Raw genomic sequence first — 24761 nt, forward strand, 5'->3', positions numbered from 1 at the left:
ACCTGCAGGAGGTAGAAAGCGATGCACTGTACCTGCAGGAGGTAGAAAGCCATGCACTGCACTTGCAGGGAAACTGTGATGAGGCAGAGCCGGATGTTCTCCTAGCACTGCCAGTTGCCTTTCTGTCTTACATATTAATATTTTTATAGGTCATGCTTCACCCCTTCCTCCATCTGCTGCACCTACCACTGATTCTACAGATTCCATAACAGGACAGAATTCAAGACAGAGAGAAGAAGAGCTGGAATTAATAGACCAACTGCGTAAAGTATGTACATTACCTTTGATTTACACTTTTTCAGTATTACTGCTATAGATCATAATCCTGTGATCACGTCTTCATTTGACACATCATTTTTATTTATTTTTTTTTTAGACGGAGTCTCACTCTGTCACCCAGGCTGGAGTTCAGTGGCATGATCCTGGCTCACTGCAGCCTATGCCTCGTGGGTTCAAGCAATTCTTCTGCCTCAGCCTCCTGAGTCGCTGGGATTACAGGCGCCCATCACTGCACCCAGCTAGTTTTTGTATTTTTAGTAGAGAAGGAGTTTCACCATGTTGGCCGGGCTGGTCTCGAACTCCTGACCTCAGGTGATCCACTGGCCTCGACCTCCCACAGTGCTGGGATGGCAGGCGTGAGCTTCCGCGCCCGGCTGTAATTTTTAACAGATTAGTGCTGGGATTGCAGGCGTGAGCTTCCGCGCCCGGCTGTAATTTTTAACAGATTAGTGCTGGGATGGCAGGCGTGAGCTTCCGCGCCCGGCTGTAATTTTTAACAGATTAAATGAGTGCCCATTGTGTGCCATGTTTTGTGATGAATGTAAACATTTTGCTATTAAGGAAATTCTTTTCAGCTATTTACTTAGAAAATGAGATAGATGGCTTATTCTATAAAGCTCAATTCCTAGCTCTACTCATTTAAATTTTTTCCTTTTTTCTACTTCCTGTTATAAAGAAATATTGTCAGTAATAATTTATATGTGTGTGCACACATATATAAATATCACACTTACACATATATAGTGAGTGATTGCCTCTTTATTTTATGTTGGAATTGAAGGAGAATCTAGGTTTTTTTTTTTAATCAGAAAGTTGTAAATGAATTTTTGTTGTACTTTGTACCACTATGCCCTGGCTGCCGTCCATATATATTAGATCTCCTTAAGTTAAACTTAGGATAGAGGGATAAAATGGATATTGTGGTACTTATTTCCTTTTTATCTTGATTTTTAATTAGATTTCATTATAACTCCCTTATGTCCTATATGTCAGTCTTTCTTCAATTAATCTATTACATGTTTTTTGTTCTTTCAGCATATTGAGTACCGGTTGAAAGTGTCTCTACCTTGTGATCTCGGAGCAGCTCTAACTGACGGTGTTGTTCTTTGCCATTTGGCCAATCATGTGCGACCTCGATCTGTCCCAAGCATTCATGTTCCCTCACCAGCTGTAGTAAGTTGATAATCCTAAAAAGCCTTGGCTATTCATCAGACATTTGTTAAGCACAGTGGACAGACATTTCTTAAGCATTGTGCTAGATATTAAGGATACAGATATAAAGAGTCCAGTCTCTACCTTCCTGGTCTCACTTCTACTCGAGAAGAAATAGACATGTATACAGCTACTTACAGCAGTGCGATAAATGTAAGAAAGGCATGTACAGTGTGTGTTATAGGGATATAAAAAGGGGCCACTTAACTCCACCTGGAGAGTTCAGGGAAGCCTTCCCAGAACGGGCAAAATTTGAACTAATTCTTGAAGTTTAAGAAGGAATTTTCCAGCAGTACAGAGAGGGGAGGGGGCCTTCCAGGCATAGGATTTCTAGATTCAGAAGCTAAGGAAAGTTTGGCTTTTACTTAAGGAATTGGTAAATTGTTCAGAATGGATCGTGCACAGGGTTGTAATACAAATGGTAAGGGGTAAGGCTAGAGACGTGAGCTGGGGCCGTGGTACAAAGGCCTTATGAACCGTGTGAAGGACGTTTACCCTAGTACAGACAATGAGGATACACTGAATTAAAGAGGGAATACCATGATTCTAACTGCAGTTTAGAATGACGAATCTAGGCTGGGCGCGGTGGCTCATGCTTATAATCTTTGCAATTTGGGAGGCCGAGGCAGACGATTGCTTGAGCCCAGGAGTTTGAGACCAGCCAGGACAATATGGCAAAACCCCGTCTCTACCAAAAATACAAAAATCAGCTGGGTATGGTGGCATGTGCCTATAGTCCCAGCTACTCAGGAGGCTGATGTGGGAGGATCACTTGAGCCCAGGAGTTCGAGGCTGCAGTGAGCCGTGATTGTGCCAGTGCACTCCAGCCTAGGTGAGAGAGCAAGACCCTGTCTCAAAGAAAAAAAAAAAAAAAAAAAAGGAATGATGAATCTAGGTGCTAAGTGAGAAATGGAAAAATTAAAGGTGGTACACTACAAAGATGCCCAAGCCAGGCTCAGTGGCTTGTGCCTGTAGTCCCAGCTACTTGGGAGCCTGAGGCATGAGGATCCTATGAGCCCAGGAGTTTGAGACCAGCTTGGGTGATCTTGTTTCTTAAAAGAAAAAGGAAAAGAGACTGGGTGCACTGGCTTACGCCTATAATCCCAGCGTTTTGGGAGCCCGAGGCTGGTGGATCACCTGAGGTCAGGAGTTCGAGACCAGCCTGGCCAACATGGTGAAACCCCAACTCTACTAAAAATACAAAATTAGCCAGGAGTGGTTCATACATCTGTAATCCCAGCTACTTGGGAGGCTGAGCCAGGAGAATCACTTGAACCCAGGAGGCGGAGCTTGCAGTGAGCTGAGATCGCACCACTGCACTCCAGCCTGGGCAAGACAGAGCGAGACTCTGTCTCAAAAGAAAAAAAGGGAAAAGAAAAGAAAGATGCCCAATTAAAAGGCTGTTGTATTAGTCCAGGCCAGGAAGATAACAAGCCGGGACTAAAGCCTGGACTAACTGGGCAGTGAGAGGGAAGATGGTTCAAAGGTAAAACTGACATGATCTGTGACCGACCTCAGGTGGAAGATGAGGGAGAAAATGCATTCAGGATAACTGGCAGGTTCTCTTTGCACTGCTGGTCAGGTCTGGGCATCAGTTTCAGGATGGCAGTCCACAAAAGAACAGGCTTTGGGTTGACACACCCCTCCTCTGTTTTCCTCACATTTTTATCATGAAAAATTTCAACCTTCAGAAAAGTGGAAAGAATCCTACAACGAACACTATTAAAGTCTGCACCTAGATCTGACGTTTCTTGCATTTTGCCGCACTTGCTTTATGTATCTATATTTGTATGTGTATTTTAACTACACCATCCAAAACTTACAGATGTAATATACTTTTCCCCCAGTGTGTTTCAGGGACCTGTCCTAGGCCACCTTGCTCTTCCCTTAAGCCCATAGCCAGTGACGGACAAGCATGGGGCTGAGCCCTCCTACCTCAAGGAGGGAGTGTCGTGTGGTTCACACTTGTGAGCTCCCTGTGGGATCAAGCTGAAGCTGAGAAGGAGACAAGCAGGAGGATCACCTGTGGCTGGGAGTTTAAGACCAGCCTGGGCAATATAGTGAGATCCCATCTCTACAAAAATACTTAAAAAAATTAGGCGTGCACCTGCTACTCAGGAAGCTGTGGCGGGAGGATCACTTGGGCCCAGGAGTTTGAGGCTGCAGTGAGCCACGATCATGCCACTGCACAACAACCTGGGCAACAGAGCGAGACCCTGACCCTAAAAAAGAAAGAAAGGGCCAGGCACAGTGGCTCTTGCCTGTAATCCCAGCACTTTGGGAGGCCCAGGTGGGCAGATCACGAGGTCAGGAGTTCGAGACCATCCTGGCCAACATGATGAAACCCCATCTCTACTAAAAATACAAAAATTAGCTGTGCATGGTGGTGCACACCTGTAGTCCCAGCTACTTGGGAGGCAGAAGCAGGAGAATCACTTGAGTCCAAGAGACGGAGGTTGCAGTGAGCCAAGATAGCACCACCACACTCCAGCCTGGCGACAGAGTGAGACTCTGTCTCAAAAGAAAAAAAAAAAAAAAAAAGACTGAAAGGAAATGAATCAAGTGTTGTAGTTACATTTAAATGATGAACTATGGGTAATTAATTTTTTTGGCTGTTCCTCCAAGTTTTCTTTAGTGCAGGGGTCCCCAACCCCTGGGCCACAAATGGGTACCAGTCTGTGGCCTGTTAGGAACTGGGCTGCACAGCAGGAGGTGAACAGGCCAGTGAGCAAAGCTTCATCTGTATTTACAGCCACTCCCCATTACTCACATCACCACCCGAGCTCTGCCTCCTGTCAGATCAGCAACAGTATTAGATCCTCAGAGGAGCATGAACGCTGGTGTGAACTGCGCATGCGAGGAAGGGATCTAGGCCACGGGCTCCTTATGAGAATCTAATGCCTGATGATCTGTCAGTGTCTCCCATCATCCCCAGATGGGACTGTCTAGTTGCAGGTAAACAAGCTCAGGGCTCCCACTGACTCTACATTACGGTAGATTTCATTATGTATGATTATTTCATTATATATTACAATGTAATAATAGAAATAAAATACACAATAAATGTAATGTGCCTGAATCAGCCTGAAACCATCCCCCCCAGCTCCAGCCCTGTCCATGGAAAAATTGTCTTCTGTGAAACCAGTCCCTGGTGCCAAAAAGGTTGAGGACTGCTGCCTTAGTGTTACACTGTTTTAAAATGGAAAAAAAAAGTTTGTAACTATTCGTTCAAAGTTTTTCTATTTAGTACTTGCCTTCCAAAATCAAAGCCAATGTCTCAAGTGTGGGGTGACAAAGTACTGCCCACAGGCCAGCACTTCTTCTTGTAAATCAAGTTTCACTGGAACCCAGTCACACTTTCTTGTTTGCATATTGTCTATAGTTGCTTTCAAGCTCCTGGCAGACTCGAGTGGTTGCAACAGTTCTTTTTTTTTTTTTGAAATGGAGCTTTGTTCTTGTTGCCCAGGCAGGAGTGCAATGGTGCGATCTCAGCTCCCCACAACCTCTGCCTCCCGGGTTCCCGGGTTCAAGTGATTCTCGTGCCTCAGCCTCCCGAGTAGCTGGGATTACAGGTGCCCGCCACCACACCTGGCTAATTTTTGTATTATTAGTAGAGACGGGGTTTCTCCATGTTCGTCAGGCTGGTCTCGAACTCCCGACCTGAGGTGATCCGCCCACCTCAGCCTCCCAAAGTGCTGGGATTATGGCGTGAGCCACCGCACCTGGCATTGCAACAGTTCTTATGGCCCTCAGAACTAACATTTATTATCTGATCCTTTAAAAAAAAGTTCGCTGACCCCCTAGTCTACAGCATTGAGAGTTATGAAGCGATTGCCAGGAGTATTTCTAAAGTTAGCAAATATTTTTTAATGTTGCTAGTAGGCTGGGCATTTAGCTGATGCCTCTGATCCCAGCACTTTGGGAGGCTGAGGCAGGCAGATTGCTTGAACTCAGGAATTCAAGACCAGCCTGGGCAACGTGGCGAACCCTGTCTCTACAAAAATTGCCCAGGTGTGATGGCATGCAACTATAGTCCCAGCTACTTGGGAGGCTGAGGTGGGAGGATCACCTGAGCCTGGGAGGTCAATGATACAGCGAGCCAGGCTTGCGCCACTGCACTCCAGCCTGGGTGGCAGTGAGACCCTGTCCCAGAAACAAAACTTCTCTAGTAACACATTTTCTTTTCCTCATTTCAGCCTAAATTAACAATGGCGAAATGCAGGCGAAATGTGGAAAATTTCCTAGAAGCTTGCAGAAAAATTGGTGTACCTCAGGTAATAAATTTATCATTTTTTATGTTGCCTAAATAGACTTGGTTGTCCTAAAATTTTAGAAATGTAAATCTCTAAAATCTTACAGGACTAGCTCTGAGCTAAGTCGATCATAATTAACATGACTTTGTGTTACAAGAGTCAGTGTACTTTTGAACAGTTTTCCTTGATTATTTCCAAGGACCACACAAAGAAATTATAAATATATAGATTGAAATAAGTATAAGTAATTTGAAATAATTATTCTATTTTCCTAAACTTTCCCACTTGCTATTTGACAACTAAATATATCCTTCAAAAACTAAGTATATCTCAGATTGAGAATGCTGCAGTTGGCTTCAGTGTTCTAACACTTGCTTTGATACTTTTTAAAATGTTTTAGACTTCCAGAAATGTTGAAAAAATAGCCTAGAGTTCCTTTTGTATACTTCAGTCAATTTCTTCTAATGTTAACTAACGTCTAATACAAACATAGGACAGTAATTCAAACTAAGTAACATGAGAACAATACGATTAACTGAATTACAGGCTTTATTTGGATTTCATCAGTTTTTCCATGAAGCTCTGGTTCTTTGGAGTCTGGCATGCAACAGGCCATTTCTAAGCTGTTGTCCTGCTATGAGGATTTATTGCCTCCAGCTCAGTTATAACTTTATTGCCCTTTAATATTACAAATAGTTAAATTTATTTATAGATGCGATTAAGGGAAATGAACTTGATACAGTCTTATCCAATAACCCCTTTAAAAAGCAATTATATTAAACCAACTAAGTATTATACTATTAAGGAATATTATGTGGTATAAAGACAAATTTAAAGAAATAAATGACTTGGTGCCATGTGATACTTTTTCATTAACCACGACCATTACAAGTCTTGTTAACATATTTTGTCTATAGCCTGCAAGGAGGAAAACATGATTCTTCTCTATCACCTTCTAATTAGGTATCAGTAACTCAGGGGTGGCCCTGGGGCTCATCAACAGCTCCACCATTGCTCTCAGAGTTTGGTTCCTGTTCCTGTAGCTTCCATGACAGTGATTCTCTTTACCCAACTCACCGCACCCATGGCAGTGATTCTCTTTACCCAACTCACCGCACCCATGACAGTGATTCTCTTTACCCAACTCACCGCACCCATGGCAGTGATTCTCTTTACCCAACTCACCGCACCCATGGCAGTGATTCTCTTTACCCAACTCACCGCACCCATGGCAGTGATTCTCTTTACCCAACTCACCGCACCCATGGCAGTGATTCTCTTTACCCAACTCACCGCACCCATGGCAGTGATTCTCTTTACCCAACTCACCGCACCCATGGCAGTGATTCTCTTTACCCAACTCACCGCACCCATGGCAGTGATTCTCTTTACCCAACTCACCGCACCCATGGCAGTGATTCTCTTTACCCAGTTCACCGCACCCATGGCAGTGATTCTCTTTACCCAACTCACCGCACCCATGGCAGTGATTCTCTTTACCCAACTCACCGCACCCATGGCAGTGATTCTCTTTACCCAGTTCACCGCACCCATGGCAGTGATTCTCTTTACCCAACTCACCGCACCCATGGCAGTGATTCTCTTTACCCAACTCACCGCACCCATGGCAGTGATTCTCTTTACCCAGTTCACCGCACCCATGGCAGTGATTCTCTTTACCCAACTCACCGCACCCATGGCAGTGATTCTCTTTACCCAACTCACCGCACCCATGGCAGTGATTCTCTTTACCCAACTCACCGCACCCATGGCAGTGATTCTCTTTACCCAACTCACCGCACCCATGACAGTGATTCTCTTTACCCAGTTCACCGCACCTCTTTCTAACTAGCCAGGAGTTGACTAGGCCACAGCATCACATGTTACAAAGTGAAAGAGAGAGCGCCCAGCTCCACAGATCATCTGTGTCAGCCAGCAGGATTCCCAGGATTGTTTTTCTCTTATGAAAGTAGATCATCATTCTATTATTTATTTTTTACTTTTTTCTTTTGCTGTTTTTTTTTTAACTGAATTATACAAGAATGGAAATTTACATAAAGTGGTAGTTAGCAAACACCTTTTTGATTCCTATGGACAAATTGAAAGCAAAATTTTCGTTTTTATATTATGTTGTTTTATAAAGGGTCATCTTTTAGAACAGACCTTTTTAAATATTTTGAGAGCACTGAATATGGTTTCTGAAGAAATAACATACATTCTTTTAAACAAGTTTATTCTAATAGTGCACATTAGCCTCCAGTTCTTCCCTTCTGCTTCCTAAAGAGGTTCTTGCTACACAAACATCCAGTGTCTGCTCTAGTTCCCTGCCACAGTGTCTTTAAACAAAGAGAGTATGGCATGGGTTGGTGCAGAGAATGGGAAATGCAAAATAGACAGGAGAGTGCTGAAAATGGCCCCACTCAAGCAAGTCATGTTGACTTACCAGATGTCAAAACCTGTTGAAAGGTCTAAGCCTGTCCGCGGGGCTTTCGGAAGCATCCTCTGAGGGTCTCTGAGATTTAAAGTCCGTACCTTGGAATTATTTCAGGATGTTCCCACCATCAGCCAACAAAGTACAAAACAGTGTGCCTTAAAATACACATTTAAGTTGGTATTTGCATGCAGTGGTTGACCATGTTTGTTATGGGCCAGCCTGCCCCTGTTCCTACCAGAGCTGTGCTGTTGGAAGGCAAGTACGAAGAAAAAAAAAATACAGTTTTAAAAGACTGGGTCTTTTTCCAGAGTGGTTAGGCTGAGGTTTTGATGCATCCTCCCTCCTTCTCCGTCACCAGAAAGAGGAAATGGACGTTCCCATAGGCTGCCCCTTCCTTCTCCCCTTCCACCTCCCACCCACGTCCCCACCACAACCACTGCCAGTTTTACACGGCTTCCTAGCAAGCTGCTACTTCTGCTGAAAAATTAGTCATCTGTCTAGAACAAAGTGAAAGAAAATGAATAAACGCACAAACTCGTAGGTTCAAACTAGCCTTCTGAGGTCCCTCTGCCAGAGGAAGAGAAGAAACTTCTACCTCCTCGTCTTCCTTTTTCTCCTGGTCTCCAGGTCATTCTGGCCTTTACTTAAACATCCCCACTTTGCTCTGTGTGACTTGAACATTGGGAATGTAATAATGACCACTTTTGAAAATGTAAAACAGAAAACAATATTACAAATATTTTTGTCAGATTCTATACCCAGGTAAGATAGATAAAGACAAATAATTTCCCTTCTCTGTGTAACTTTTAAAGTGTTGTACAAGTTAAAGTATGAGTGAAATACTGAAGAACAAGGCAGTTATTAAAAACCTCTGATGACATTGGGCATGTGGGTATTTGCTTTATTTTTATGCTTCTATTCAATATGCTACATTCAAAAAAACTGTAATGGGTGATTAAAAACTTGTATCTGAGTCCAGTATCTTTTGTCCCAGAGTCGTTATGTTATGTGTTAAAGGATGTCTGTCTCCCTGTTGTCAAGTCCATTCTTGTATTTATTTAATGAATTTTGCAATCTGTAAAATGGAGGGTTTGGATGATCTCTGAGGCCCTTAACAGCTCTGCCTTCATTTTGAACACATTCTCGAGCTGGACTTGGTTAAAATAGACACCCCCTGGCCGGGCGCGGTGGCTCACGCCTGTAATCCCAGCACTTTGGGAGGCCGAGGTGGGCGGATCACGAGGTCAGGAGATCGAGACCATCCTGGCTAACATGGTGAAACCCCGTCTCTACTAAAAATACAAAAAATTAGCCGGGCGTGGTGGCGGGCGCCTGTAGTCCCAGCTGCTCGGGAGGCTGAGGCGGGAGAATGGCGGGAACCCGGGAGGCGGAGCTTGCAGTGAGCCGAGATCAGCGAGACTCCGTCTCAAAAAAAATAAAAAATAAAAAAATAAAATAAAACAGACACCCTCTGATTTTTAGAGGAATGCCAAGTCATTGAATGCATTTGGCTTCTGGGTAGTAAATTACCCCCGGATCATGAGGCTTTCCTCAGTCTTTGAACCTTTTTGATGTACATGGCTTTCTCCAAAAACGTCCGTCTCCTCAGCCTCTGCAGTTTTCGTCCTTGCTTTCTGACCTACTTTTTTTTTTTTTTTAAATAGAGGAGAATGAGTCAGGAAAGAGGTTGCTTCACACACACCTCACTACATTCAGGCCTCACACGACCCTAAACCAACATCCACTTCTGTGTATTGTATTTTTTTTTTTTTTTTGAGACGGAGTCTCGCTCTGTCACCCAGGCTGGAGTGCGGTGGCGCGATCTCGGCTCACTGCAAGCTCCGCCTCCCGGGTTCCCGCCATTCTCCTGCCTCAGCCTCCCGAGTAGCTGGGACTACAGGCGCCCGCCACCACGCCCGGCTAATTTTTTGTATTTTTAGTAAAGACGGGGTTTCACCGTGTTAGCCGGGATGGTCTCGATCTCCTGACCTCGTGATCCACCCGCCTCGGCCTCCCAAAGTGCTGGGATTACAGGTGTGAGCCACCGCGCCCGGCCTGTGTATTGTATTCTTAATGTTCAGACCAGTCACCAACAAACGAATTTTATTCTGCTATTTAGTAGTAAGATCAGGCTCAGCATGGAGAAGATTCTTTGTAGTTTGGGTTTTCAGCGTTTTATTTTTGTTCCTCAATGTAAAAATGTTACAGGATGTGTATATGTGAATATGACTGAGATGATCATATGAATTCTATACTCAAATCTGCATTTCTGATCCACTGACTTTGTTTTTCTGTTTTCCTTTCCTGCTTACACTTTGGACAGGACAATCTTTGTTCCCCTTCCGACATCCTTCAGCTAAACCTCAGCGTTAAAAGAACTGTTGAAACGCTCCTTTCTCTTGGGGCACACTCAGAAGAATCCAGTTTTGTCTGTCTCTCTCTGCAGCTTCTGGGTTTTGTGGCATTTTACTGTACTGTGATGTTAACTCTCTGTGTGCTTTATTACTGGCTCTTCCCCGCTCGCTGAAAGATTGCACTCCGGTGACTTTCTGCCTCATTCCTGTGCTTGGTAAAGGAGGTTTGTTTCTCATCCAGAATTATTTACATAAGTGCTTTTTCTCCCTGCTGGCCCTCAAAGAGCTAACCCATAAAGGAGGTAAATCCTTTCTTTATATTTGCAGATGAGCACCCCCTCACATTAGTAAACATTTACGATTGCTAACAAAGAGTAAAAGACCAGCATTTTTTCTCCTGGTCATCCGTCCATTCTCCTGGCCTGTGGCCTTGTTTCTCTTACCATAAATGCTGAAGCATTTTTACTAATACAATTCTGAACTTGTACTTCGAATATGACATGTAGAGCTTTATTTCCAAGTCACACAATACAACTCCCATCTGGCCATTTTTCCGTGCCTCAGCACAAGTGTTGAATTGTGGAGTGACTGAACCTTTGCAGCAGCTGCTCACGAGGAGAACCGTCGTGCCTTTTCTGGTTTTGGCCGCACCCGGTTACTTAGATTTCTGCTTTGAACTGTGTCCTGAGATCCTGAATCCCCGCTTTGTCGGTAGGCACAGGTCCATATAAGCATTTGCGGTCTGGACGTTTCAAAGGTATTGGCCATAATTTTAATAATTTTAGTTTGGTCAGAATGTTCAGTTTGAAGATCACCCACATTCCCTAGACTGCTCTTCTGAGCCCAGTCTATACGCTGTATGTGCTGCACACGAGCAGATGGGCTGGAGCTGGCCTCTCAGGGTGGGCACCTTCCAGATTGTGTTTGTTATGTGTGACTGAGGTTCACTCCCAGCATTCTGTTTAAATTTGGAATTTATGTGATTTCTAACATATTCAAACCTTCTTAATAGTGAAACAGTAGCAGGAGAAGTATTAGGGCAGCAGTCCCTGTTCTGTGCTCAAGGCAGTGAATATTGTCTAGCTCTTTCAGAATGCGTAGCACTTAGCTGCTAGACGTTAATGCTGGAAACTATAATTGCGGTTAGATTCTAGTTTCATAAGTGGTGTTTCTGAATATTCAGGAACCTTCTGAACTCTGTTAACAAAATTGGGATAAAGGATGAACTCAAGTGTGAAGAGAGATTGTGAGGAGCATAATATCCGGTTTAGAATTCAGCCTGAGGGAGGAGCATAACATCTGGGTGTAGAATTCAGCCTGAGGGGCTCACTGGTTTGGTTTTCTTCCATATGAAATGGGACAGCTATTTTCACAGGTCAAAAGACTGTTCACTATTAATGCTGAAACACTCAACACTGTGATGATGAAAACTTCAGTTTTCTGTGTCAGTAGGTGCCTTTCAGACTTTGGGGAATTGGGTTGGTTATATTTTTAAGATGTCTCAGAGTTGAAACACCTGTTAAAAAACACACACAGGCTCTCATGTGGTTTAGGGGTTGTAATTGTACATTCTCTTGAGAACACACGGCACTCCCTCTAGTCCAGCTGGGAGGTGAGGGTGCCCCAGAAAGCACAGGCTTCTGAGTGTGAACACCGGCCGCGCAGGTCCTAGGGCGCTGCTGAGAGGAAGAGACCAGGGAATCAGCCTTGGAGAAAGCACGTCTCTTCCGACAGCAAAACACTGGGCAGGTTCATTTTAAGTATCATTTATCTAGACTTGCAGTTGCACTCAAAGTATTTCTACAAAGTTGCTAGTTTTTTTAGATCAAAAGATTACAGTTACCTCATTTTATCAAAATAAGTATTAAATAAAAAGTAAGCACAAGTACCAATAACTGCCTCAAAAATACTTGTTATATATTTTATTGTAACTGGTTTTATAAAATTTCCTAGTAATATCGTCTCAATGAAAAGCAAAACAAAAAACAAAAAACAAAAAAACCCAACTAGTTGTTTTAACAAACATATATAATCTTTTTTTAGTGGCACCAGAATTCTATATTCTGTTCTTTGTAAGAGCAATCTCTTTTCTTTTTGGAATATTTAATCTTAACAGAAAGCTAGTGATAAATGCTGTTCTTAAGATTTGCCTTTTTCTCTCACAAGAAAGGGTTAACCTAACAAATTAACGATGCACACATTAAGGAAGCGTTTAACTTCCTCAAGCAAACAGTGTCAACACTTCTCACATGTTGGTAATCAACATGTTCCTGCCTAAGCTTACATAGTAGTTCCCTGGAATAATTCAGGCTGTTAAATACCAGGATATTAAATCCTTTACATTTTCAAATACTGCTTTTAATTCTGTAATTCAGATTTTTAATTCAGACAGGCCCTTCCATGAATTATTCAAATTAGGGGGAAGTTTCTCAAGAGCTCAGGATACACTGAGTTTCTTGCCCTATCTGGTCTGGAAACCCTGGTTTTCACAGTCAGGATTATAATGCAGATAGCGTAGAACTCATGCAGGCTGAGTTATGTTTTCAAACTATCTTTCATTCTTGTGGTAGGGAACTTACCCTCAAGTGTAGTATCTTTTACTCTTGAGCCATCTGGTAGCGTGGAATTGTTTTTCTATTTTTCACCTGCCTATTTTATAGACCTGTATTGACCTTTTATTCATCAGGGATAAAGGATGTTGCTTTCACCCTGCGGTATTGTTTTCCCTCTGTTGTATGTATAGATATATGCTACTTGTCAATTTTCCAATTTTGAAAATGATCTGTATGTACTTTTAGTTGTATTAATAAAGTGACAGTGAGTGTCAGACACCATCTCTCTAACTCATATTTACACTGAGGTCAGTTTCCCAGGTACTAATTTTCATATCTAAGTTGATGATTGTGAAGGGGAGAAGTGCTTATTTTTTCCTTTCAGTTCTATGATATTCATCCGATTTTCTTTTTTGTTTGTTTTCATGTTACGTTGTCCCTTTCAGGAGCAATTATGTTTGCCTCTCCACATTTTAGAAGAGAAAGGTTTGAGCCAGGTTGCAGTGACGGTCCAGGCTCTCCTGGAACTTGCCCCACCCAAGCAACAGCAGCACCAGTTATCTGCTGTTTGAGGATCCCCAGGACGGTGGGCACTGGCCTGGCCAAAACAAGGAACAGGACACCGTGATTGCTGCTGCCAGCTGTCTGCTTAAACAAAGCTCTTGTGTGTTCTCAGAAGGGACCGTTCCCATGATTCCTAACAGGAATATTTTGCTTCATTTCTCCATTTTAGGGGAGGTTATTTCCATTTCCATTGAATTTTTTTACGAAGACACCATTGGTTTTCTCAGATGAAACTTCTCTTACTGAAAACCCAGCACCTAACTTGGCTGTGTTTTCCTGGAGAGCAGGCGTGTTTCACGTGCCAGAAAGCACATCTTCTGTGTTAGGCACAAGCATGCTGTGCCATTGTTTTTACCTGGTCTCAAGACAACTGGTCTGCTGGTTTCTAAACTTGGTTGTTCATTAGACTCTCCTGGAGTATTTGTTAAAATACAGATTCACATTCAGTAGAGCTGGGGTAAGGCCTAGGAATCTGCATTTTCAACAACCATTGCACATGTTTTTGTTTTTGTTGGAGAAGGAGTTCTGCTCAGTCGCCCAGGCTAGAGTGCAGTGGCATAATCTCAGCTCACTGCAACCTCCGCCTCCCGGGCTCAAGCGATTCTCCTGCCTCAGCCTCCCGAGTAGCTGGGACAACAGGTGCCCGCCACCATGCCTGGCTAATTTTCTTGTATTTTTAGTAGAGATGGGATTTTGTCATGTTGGCCAGGCTGGTCTCAAACTCCTGACTTCAAGTGATCCACCTGCCTCGGCCTCCCAAAATGCTGGGATTACAGGCGTGAGCCACTGTGCCCGGCCTCCCAGAGTGCTGGGATGACAGGCGTGAGCCCCCGCGCCCGGCCTCCGAGAGTGCTGGGATTACAGGCGTGAGCCACTGTGCCCGGCCTCTGAGGGTGCTGGGATTACAGGCGTGAGCCACTGCGCCCGGCGCCCGGCCCATTGCACGTGTTTTTCATGTAGTGGAACCACTGTTCAAAGCTAGATATTTGTATGTTTGCGGGGGAGGGTAATGGCCCCCTGCATTTTTCACCCACATTTAAAATCAAAAGCTATATTATGAGGAGTTGGACTGTTCTGTCAAAGGCAAAACAAAAATAATATAGAAGGCCTAGGTTTTGCATAGTCTTCTTTTTTTTAAGAGTTGGGGTCTTGCCGTATTGCCCAGGCTGGTCTGAAACTCCTGGGCTCAACTGATCCTCCCGCCTCAGCCTCCCAAAGTGCTGGGATTACTGGAGTGAGCCATCGGGCCTGGCCCAGATTTTGCATAGTAAAACAGTGAAACAGATAGAGTTGTATTTAAGGTCAGTATTCTAGGCCTCCCTTCAACTGCAGTCATACCATCATAGAAGATAGTTCTATGTCATCCTGTTATCTGGACATTATAATAAACAACAAGCCCTCTATACACAGGTTCCAAACCCCGTTATCTAGACATTATCAACAACAAGCCCTCTCTCTATACAGAGTTTCCAAATTCTGAAGCTGATAGCGCACTTGGTCTCACTGAGCCTCCCTCCCCGCCCTCCTGCTGCTCCTCAGACATCTGGGCCTGCAGACACATTGCAGTTACAGCACATACACTTCTAGCTCGGAAAAGCCTAGTTTCTTGTATTTCTTTCAGGTAACTGCCAGTTTCTGTGGCTGAATTTAAGCACTTACAGCATCTTCCTAGCTGGGTGTGGTGGCTCACACCTGTAATCTCAGCACTTTGGGAGGCTGAGGCGGGCAGATCACCTGAAGTTGGGAGTTTGAGACCAGCCTGACCAACATGGAGAAACCCCGTCTCTACTAAAAATACAAAATTAGCTGGGCGTGGTGGTGCATGCCTGTAATCCCAGCTACTCGGGAGGCTGAGGCAGGAGAATTGCTTGAACCCAGGAGGCGGAGGTTGTGGTGAGCCAAGATCGTGCCATTGCACCCCAGCCTGGGCAACAAAAGCGAAATTCCATCTCAAAAAAAGAAAACGCGCCCCATCTCGCTCCACCACAAGCGCCTTTATATACTCAATGATGGGTGGAGGAAAAGGGCCCAAGGGCTCACACCGCACAGGAGCCTTTACTCAAGTTTCAGCTAGTTTTCCTTCCCCTGCATTTTGAACTCCTTTTAGTTGTTGGTGATATCCTTTGGTGTTCACTGCCTTTGTAAAACAAGTAAATAAAGTAAGCGGAAGATATCTCTTTTGTTTCTGTAGTTGTTAACTGTTCTGGATTTTCTTTACAATGCATCCATTTGGGCATAATGTTATCCCTCTTTTTATCAGGTAAATGTAGCATCTAAAAGTAGCTTTGGATCAAATCATGTTGAATACCTGGTCAAAGTAATGTTTTCTTCCTTGTTCTTGCAGAGAAACAAATTCATCAGAACATTACCACTTGACCAGGTTTAAAATTGTATAACAGGCTGGGCATGGTGGCTCATGCCTATAATCCCAGCACTTTGGGAGGCCGAGGCAAGAGGATCACTTGAGCCCAGGAGTTTGAGAGCAGCCTGGGCAACATAGCAAGACCCTGTCTCCCAAAAATTAAAAAAAAAAAAAAAAAACCAGGTGTGGTGGCACCTGCCTGTACTCCCAGCTACTCAGGAGGCTGGGGTGGGAGGATCACTTGAGCCTGGGAGGTTGAGGCTACAGTGAGCCATGGCTGCACCACTGCACTCCAGCCTGGGCAACAGAGTGAGACCCCATCTCTAAAAATAAATTGTACAACATCTAACTTCAATGCCCAATCTTATAGAACAAAAGTAAAATGTCTTTATGTAAGACCCCATTATATTTACAGTTCCCAACAGACCCACCAACTCTTATATACCCTTATATAACTTGTTTAGAATTTAGCCATGTGCATTTTTAAACTGTGTTTGTCAACATTAAGCCTCAGTACAGTCTCCAAATTATATGCCACCAGAAATGAAATTCAGCAAAGGACAGGATTGTTTTTAACATACGCAAGCCAGCCTGGCCAACATGGTGAAACCTTGTCTCTACTAAAAATACAAAAATTAGCTGGGCGTGGTGGTGGGCACCTGTAATCCCAGCTACTTGGGTGGCTGAGGCACAAGAATCGCTTCAACCTGGAAGCCGAAGGTTGCAGTGGGCTGAGATTGTGCCACTGCACTCCAGCCTGGGCAACAGAGCGAGACTCTGTCTCAAAAAAAAAAAAAAAAAAAAACCCACCAAACCAAAAATATACTATGCAAGGAATAATTCTAGAAGACATTACATAATGCAATACTTGCAACATTTGCAACTAATTTTCCCATAGGGATAAATGGAAATTTCAACTTATTTCAAATTTTGCACATATTATGAAACCTTATTAATGTATTTTTATCAAACTAAATCAGATTTGTATTTGAATTGTTAGGAAAAACCATGTGCAGTTTTGGCTGATAATTGAAGGAAAAATATCAAATGCTTTGAATTTTTTTTCTCTTTTTTCAAACCCTCTGCAGAGGTAGGAAGGTATGAATTTCTTTTTTATGTCAAGATGCAAAAACAAATCATGATGCTTTTGTTGGGAGAATTTTTGTATTCAGTATTTTGTATGTACCTTTTTTTTTTTAAATTGGAAAGCACAATTCGGTTTAACATTTAGCTTTGCTTGACTCCAGTGTAAGATGAAGATGACCTTGTCACAGCTCCCCTGACCTGAAGCAGAGCCCTTCCCATCACTGACAGTGTTGGGGGTTGAGAGCCCCCCAGCAGAGCCCTTCCCATCACTGACAGTGTGTCGGCAGCTGAGAGCTCCCCCAGCAGAGCCCTTCCCATCACTGAACAGTGTTGGCGGCTGAGAGCCCCCCAGCAGAGCCCTTCCCATCACTGACAGTGTTGGGGGCTGAGAGCCCCCCAGCAGAGCCCTTCCCATCACTGAACAGTGTTGGCGGCTGAGAGCCCCCCAGCAGAGCCCTTCCCATCACTGACAGTGTTGGGGGCTGAGAGCCCCCCTAGCAGAGCCCTTCCCATCACTGACAGTGTCTGGGGCTGAGAGCCCCCCCTAGCAGAGCCCTTCCCATCACTGACAGTGTTGGGGGCTGAGAGCCCCCCAGCAGAGCCCTTCCCATCACTGACAGTGTCTGGGGCTGAGAGCCCCCCAGCAGAGCCCTTCCCATCACTGACAGTGTCTGGGGCTGAGAGCCCCCCCTAGCAGAGCCCTTCCCATCACTGACAGTGTCGGGTTGAGAGCCACCCCCAGCAGAGCCCTTGCCACGTACAGAGATTTTCTGTCAGCAGTTTCCCAGTATTTCAGACTCATAATCTGTGTTTAGCACTCCAGTGTTCTCTTGTAATAGCCAGGTCTGGAAACGACCCATGGAAAGAGGGGCCTTTGTATTCTGCTAGAACACAGAGCATAGTAGTAGATCACTTTTCTGAAGAGCTTTTTAAAATACAGCTAATCAAGGAGTTTGCGATTTCTCTTACTTTCTACAGCTCAGCAGTGACTAATGATGTGTGACTATGCGAATGAGTTTGATGAATTCGTAAAAACTAAGCGCTTAAATGGTTATAGAAATGAAAACATGGATATTTAGAAGCCTTTCTATATACACAGTGCAGTTGAGATGGTTTACAGCAAATTTCGTTTTATTTCTGAAAATGTTGTAAACATGTAATTAGTGAAAGATTTTGTAAAACATTGTCCTGTATTTTTGTCTGTAAATATATTGCATAAGTTCTAAGTATAAATATGTCAGTATCATGTATGTTATTTTAAATTGCCTGTACGCCACTTTACACATTGACATTCAAATAAAAGCCAACACTTCAGTGGCGTGTAATAAAAGCTGATTGGAGCGTGTTCATACCTGAGGTGTGGTTCCCTTGGCAAAGGTGAATCAAGGAAAGAGCATCTCATTTCCAGAGGGAATGTCAGTGGAAATGGGGGCTTCGGGACAAACTTTTGAGATCAAATTCATTTTTTAAGGAAGTACAGATATCAAGACTGAGCTTTATTTGGAGTTAGATAGAAGGCTTAATTCATGAAATGTATGTGACACATTAGGACAACTTTGCTCTTGGAAACCTTTAGCATCCCAAGGCATTGTTTTGACTCATCAAGGCAAGCATGATCTGGTGGGTGCATTTTTTTTCTAGGAGAAGAGGGAGAGTGACAGCTTTCCTATTTGCCAGGCACAAGTTAGATATTTTCACACACCTGATTTCTTTTCATCTTAACACTCCATAAAGTGGGGATTGGTGGCTCTAGTGTTTCACTTGTCAAAAATATCTCCAAACTAGCCTTCCAGAGAACCTGTGTCCCCATCTTTATAGTTTGTAAAGTTGTATATCCTAACATCCTATTTCTAGCTTGTATTTATAATTTGTATCCCTGTTTCCTAGAAAAGTTGCTGAAGCAGCTTACAACTGGATATGTATTCCATGCCATTTTCACCTGAATAAAAACACCAAAGTGACGATAAATCTAAAAGGCAGGCAGGAACCAACATTTATTAAAACTTTGCTGTGTATATATTATGCTGGACAGCTAATAACATCATATTGTAATTCCTACTGAATACTTTTGCTCATAAGAGTTTTTTCACTACAGACAAATTGGGTAAAATCAAAATCTGACATTACAGGAATTACTCAAGTTTCAATGCGTCACTGTAGCTAAGCCAGTGAACTCCTTTGTTCTGCTGAGAAAGAGCAAGAAGAATGAATCTTCACAGGACTACTAGAAACTTCTTCCCAGCAAGGTATGAGGAAGCCCTAAGTCAATGGTGTAATCCTAAATCAGGGTTTGAAAACCCACCTAACAGGCAGAGTGAAATTAACAGGCAAAGTGAAATCAGGCTTCCCTGGGAAAGTCTCAATAGGAAACAACCTGTAGATGAGTCATCTTTGAGGTACCAGGTGTTTCTTAACTCTCTCCAAGTCCTTCCCACCTCCAGAATACCAGCAGAAAACACAAAAGAGAACTTGGTCACTTCTTCTTGCCTCTCCTCTTATCCTTGCCTTTACCTTTGCCTTTTGAATCCTTGCTATCAACTTTGTCTTTAGGCATCTTGAAACCACCAATTTCTCTCCGTATCATAGTGCCTCGCCACCAGGCCTGGAGCTGGAAGAGAAAAGGGGAGTGAGTACGACGTATGCTATGCCTGACAAGCTGCATTCTTTCCACATAAAGGGACTGTTGAATAAAGTAACTTCTGTCTGACAAACAGTCTCTCTCCAGGACATGGAAGTAGCCAGGCACGTAATCACTTCAGCGATGCTCTCCTGTCGTGCAGGACCCGGAGCTTAAGCCATGGACTCAAGAGTGAAGTTCTCAAGTAAAAATAAAGAAAAGGAATCTGATTTGACCTATTTTTTCTTCACCCGTAGAAATCTGACTTCCTTATACTGCTTTCCTTGAGGAAAGTCCAGGTTCCCCATACTTAACAGCTATTTGAACCAAAAAGAATGTTAGTTACCTGGGCCAAGGGCAAAAGCACTCGGCCAAAAATGCACAGATAATGCCAGGTGCGGTGGCTCATGCCTGTAGTCCCAGCACTTTGGGAGGCTGAGGTGGGCAGATCACTTTGAGCTCAAGGGTTTGAGACCAGCCTGGGCAACATGGCAAGACCCTGTCTCTACAAAAATACAAAAAAGAAAAAAAATTAGTCAGGCCTGGTGGCTTGTGCCTATAGTCCCAGCTGTTTGGGAGGCTGAGGCAGGAGGATCTCTTGAGCCCGGGAAGCAGAGGTTGCAGTGAGCAGAGATTGCGCCACTGCACTCCAGCCTGAGTGACAAAGTGAGATGCTGTCTCAAAAAAAAAAAAAAGAAAAGCACAGATAAGTCTAGATGACTTTCATAGGCTTGCTTGTGCATTTCATATCTTTAGTGATTGCTTAAAAGATCAGTTGTCCTAGTACTTTTAAAAAAGATTTAGTTAGCTTTCTTGAATATCTTGGTTTTAGATAACAGTTGTTCTCAATACGGTCTCTACTGCTTTAAAGTCAGACTAAACCCTAAAGACTGGAAGCAAATCCACTAGTGAAAAGAAAGCAAACGTGCTCTTCAGCTCGTTCTTAACATGTTTGTTGTAAATTCAGGAATACTGACAAGTTTTATGGGGAAACACCATTGAAACTTGATAAATACTTGCTACTTACACATCTGACTCCTTATGGGAAGCCCAACTTTGGGTCTGGATACCTGGTCCAGAATGTGGTATAAAACTTAACTATTTTAGATCACCCTAATATACAACCCAAACTACAGTGTACCCACTAGGGCCTCGACCTTCAGAGAGAAGGGCCAGCTCCAGACAGGTGCCGTCCAGCTTTCAGTTTTTGCTTGCGAGTATTTCACGTGATCTGTGACCTGCCAGTTTCATCATCACTGAGACACACAAGTTCACATAAAACTAAAATATCTCTATTTTTTTCTAACTTGCTGCTTATCCTTCCCACCTAAGCAGCTTGTATCAGAACCCAGCAGATAGTCTGGGCTGATGTATAAGCAGGATTTTAAGAAGTAGAAGGATATTAAAAAGAATCATTCTGTCAAGAGCTGGTTTTGGTTAGACATAGTAATCTGATATTTCGTCTCTTGGCCTAGGTTTTGCTTCCGCTGCTAACCACCTCTTTTTCCCCAGATGAAGAGCTGGGGGCACGTCCTTTTCTATGTTAACTGTCTCCCTGCACCATGGACTGTTGGCAAATTCTAATAATAACAAAAGTCCATGCTTCTTCTCAGATCTGCAGTTCCTTGATATACTGAGATGTGTTTGATAATGAATTGGAAATGCTTTTGTGTTCCTCAGTGTTAAGCCAGCTGTGGCGAGATACTGATTATGGTTCTTTACCTTTATAACGCTCTTTAATTCCAAGAGATCCTGTTTTACCTTCTTCTTGCTCCTCTCCTTTTCTATACGATCTTCAATGATGACCTGTTCATACTCTCTTATCTGCAAAGATAGACATTCATCATTTATTATAGTACTCTCTTGGCTAAGCTGTAGCCCAGCCAGCCCTGCACTTTTAATATAAAATTTCAAAATAAAACATGCTCAATCTAAAGATAAACCAAAGAAAAAAATGTAATAGATTCCTAGATGGTAAATATTCACATATTAACTTTATAATTGTTCCCAAAACTTTTTCAGTTTTAATAATTCAAATTTAAATTCTATCTTTTATAAAAAATGAAATATGAATTAATGTGTGATCAATGATCTCAAAATAATATGGATTGTTTTTTAAACTTTGGGAGAATGTACATACACAAGTAGTCAGCTGTCTTTTTTGTTTGTTTGTTTGTTTTGAGACAGAGTCTCACTCTGTCTGTCACCCAGGCTGGAGTGCAGTGGCGCAGTGTTGGCTCACTGCAACCTCCGCCTTCTGGGTTCAAGTGATTCTTGTGCCTCAGCCTCCTGAATAGCTGGAATTACAGCCACGTGCCACCATGCATGGCTAATTTTTGTATTTTTAGTAGAGATAGGGTTTTGCCATGTTACCCAGGCTGGTCTCAAACTCCTGATCTCTACTGATCTGCTCGCCTCGGCCTCCCAAAGTGCTGGGATTATAGGCGTTAGCCACCATGCCCAGCAGTAGCTGACTTTTGAAAGAAATTTAGGAAGTTCTGCATTTATTCCATAATGAAACCATAATCACAAGCTTGTTAGAAATCATCACTGACTCTCTCCAGAGGTCATAAACTAAGAATAATCACAGTATCTGTCTCAAGGGGCTGTGTGGGTAGCACCTTGGACAGAGTAGGCACTACGTAAGTTAGCTACTGCAGCTGTCCCCGTCAGCAGCAGCAGCATCTAAAAAGAATCCTGGTGGCTTATAAGCGCACCTCTACTTTTGACCCCAAATAGCAATACCCAGCTACTGTGGCCTATTTGCCACTCCTTCCTCGGTGAGCACCCTGATTCCTTCCACTCCCTCCTCAGTGAGTGCCCTAATTCCTTCCACTCCCTCCTCAGTGAGCACCCTAATTCCTTTCACTCTGTCCTCAGTGAGCGCCCTAATTCCTTCCTTACCATCTTTGCCAGGTCTTGAAGGTGTGCTAAGTCACTGGCCTTTGTGGCTTTGAGAGCATTTAGTTCATTCTGTTTCATTTCTGTGTCCTTATCGTATTTCTCCATCCAGAACTCCAGCCTCTCCTCAAGTTTCTATTTGGAAAGAACATGAAAACATGGCATTCAGCAGACACAAAACGCTGTATACTGTATGATTCCACTTATACGAGTTTCAAGATTAAGCAGAACATTCCATAGTGAGAGAAGGCAGAACAGTAGTTACTTACCTGGGTGGAGAGTTGGATTTCTGATTGGGAATGGGGGTGAGGGGGACTTTGGGATGCTGTAAATGTTCTCTGTATCTTTATCCAGGTGGTGGTTACATGAATGTGTATACATAACTGTTCATCAAACTATACACTAAGTACTTACACATTTTACTTGTATGTTAGTGAATTTTAAAATAGGGGGCCAGGCGCGGTGGCTCACGCCTGTAATCCCAGCACTTTGGGAGGCTGAAGTGGGCGGATCACCTGTGGTCAGGAGTTCGAGACCAGTCTGACCAACGTGGAGAAGCCCCGTCTCTACTAAAAATACAAAATTAGCTGGGCATGGTGGCGCATACCTGTAATCCCAGCTACTAGGGAGGCTGAGGCAGGAGAATCACTTGAACCCAGGAGGCGGAGGTTGCGGTAAGCCCAGATCGCGCCATTGCACTCCAGCCTGGGCAATAATAGCAAAACTCCGTCTCAAAAAAAAAAAAAAAAAAAAAAATAGGGGGAGGAGGGTAATCTAGATGTCTGGATAAGGGAAGTTGCAATGAAGAGGAAACAAAAGGTATGTAGAAAAGTCTGAAGGATAAGGAATAGCATCGGATCTCTCTTTGATTGACAGCACTAAATCCTAGTCAAGAAGGATACAATGTATTCAAAATTCTAAAAGAAAATGAATGTAGGGCCGGGCGCAGTGGCTCACGTCTGGAATCCCAGCACTTTGGGAGGCCGAGGTGGGCAGATCACAGAGTCAGGAGATCGAGACCATCCTGGCTAACACGGTGAAACCCTGCCTCTACTAAAACTACAAAAAAAAAAAAAAGCCAGGCATGGTAGCCGGCACCTGTAATCCCAGCTACTCGGGAGGCTGAGGCAGGAGAATCTCTTGAACCCGGGAGACAGAGGTTGCGGTGAGCCAAGATTGCGCCACAGCACTCTAGCCTGGGTGACAGAGTGAGACTCCGTCTCAAAAAAAAAGAAAAAGAAAGAAAAGCAAGTGAATGTGAATCAAAGATTCTACACATAGCCAACCCAGCATTCAAATGTAAAGGAAAGAAAGACTATACTCAATATTTCTGAGAGAGTTATTCAAGGATGTACTACTGTAGCAAAATAAAATGAAAGAGATATATTAAGAAATGGAAGAGAACCAGTAAAACATGTATTTAAGCTATGTGATAGTTTTTAATCATAAATCATAATTCAGAATTAAAATCCCAAAGTAGGCAGGATAGTCTAGTTGAAAGAGCACAACTCTGGCACTGAAAGAAAGTTTACTTAAATTCTCTAAGCTTCTGGTTCCCTCATATATAAAATTCTATACCTAGCCAATAATACAGTATTACTATTACAGTCATAGTACAAACCTCAGAGGGTTGTTGTGATGCTGAAATAATCCTTGTGAAGTCCACCCACAATGCGCATATATATACATAATATCTGCATATATATTATCACTATATATATTTACATATAAAGTGAATGACTTCAACATGGGATGAAGAGCGAGAGAAGAGGTAAGTGAAGTCTCTTTGCCTTAATAAAGGCAAAAGAAGGTATAAACATTGACTAACTCTCGACAGAGAAATTCTAAAAGTATAAAAATATATGTTAACATTTTAAGAGTTGTGCTCACTTCAGTAACATATATACCAAAATTGGAACAATACAGAGATGATTAGCATGGCTCCTGCGCAAGAGTGACACACAGATTCGTGAAGCATTCCATATTTGTGTACTTTCTAGAAACAAAAAATTTAAAGGTTACCCCTAAAAGAACAGAAATGTGTAACTTTCAGACTCGGGGACGATGCACCTCAAGAGTGAAACATTGAGAAGTTCCTTAGGTGGCACATAGCATAGAATTTTTTAAAAACATGGCTATAGTCAATC

At 43.1% G+C, this 24761-nt stretch overlaps 2 protein-coding genes and 1 pseudogene across 23 annotated transcripts in view; 2 read left to right on the forward strand and 1 right to left on the reverse strand.

The window, feature by feature from the left end:
- The window catches only part of LRCH3 (leucine rich repeats and calponin homology domain containing 3), a 97211-nt gene extending 78785 nt beyond the window's left edge, over positions 1 to 18426 (forward strand). For 6 of the 15 annotated variants that reach the window (XM_047449082.1, XM_047449081.1, XM_047449083.1 and 3 more), the window contains 4 exons: positions 150 to 268; positions 1315 to 1452; positions 5688 to 5765; positions 13531 to 18426. In XM_047449082.1, coding sequence (XP_047305038.1) covers positions 150 to 268; positions 1315 to 1452; positions 5688 to 5765; positions 13531 to 13656 — 461 coding nt within the window. In that variant the 3' untranslated portion in view covers positions 13657 to 18426. Of the gene's footprint in view, positions 1 to 149; positions 269 to 1314; positions 1575 to 3338; positions 3552 to 5687; positions 5799 to 10501 lie in introns of those variants that run through there. The other 9 variants (NM_001363887.1, XM_005269367.4, XM_017007352.3 and 6 more) reach the window with 4 other exon arrangements.
- Positions 19067 to 24761, reverse strand: part of DRC9 (dynein regulatory complex subunit 9) — a 71101-nt gene continuing 65406 nt past the window's right edge. For 6 of the 8 annotated variants that reach the window (XM_024453790.2, NM_001323028.2, NM_032263.5 and 3 more), the window contains 3 exons: positions 22618 to 22749; positions 21436 to 21537; positions 19067 to 19704 (listed from right to left, as the gene is read on the reverse strand). In XM_024453790.2, coding sequence (XP_024309558.1) covers positions 19570 to 19704; positions 21436 to 21537; positions 22618 to 22749 — 369 coding nt within the window. In that variant the 3' untranslated portion in view covers positions 19067 to 19569. Of the gene's footprint in view, positions 19705 to 21435; positions 21538 to 22617; positions 22750 to 24761 lie in introns of those variants that run through there. The other 2 variants (XR_007095755.1, XR_007095756.1) reach the window with 1 other exon arrangement.
- On the forward strand, positions 24497 to 24603 carry RNU6-858P (RNA, U6 small nuclear 858, pseudogene; annotated as a pseudogene).

This window comes from Homo sapiens, chromosome 3, assembly GCF_000001405.40.
Source record: "Homo sapiens chromosome 3, GRCh38.p14 Primary Assembly".
NCBI classification, from domain to species: domain Eukaryota; kingdom Metazoa; phylum Chordata; class Mammalia; order Primates; family Hominidae; genus Homo; species Homo sapiens.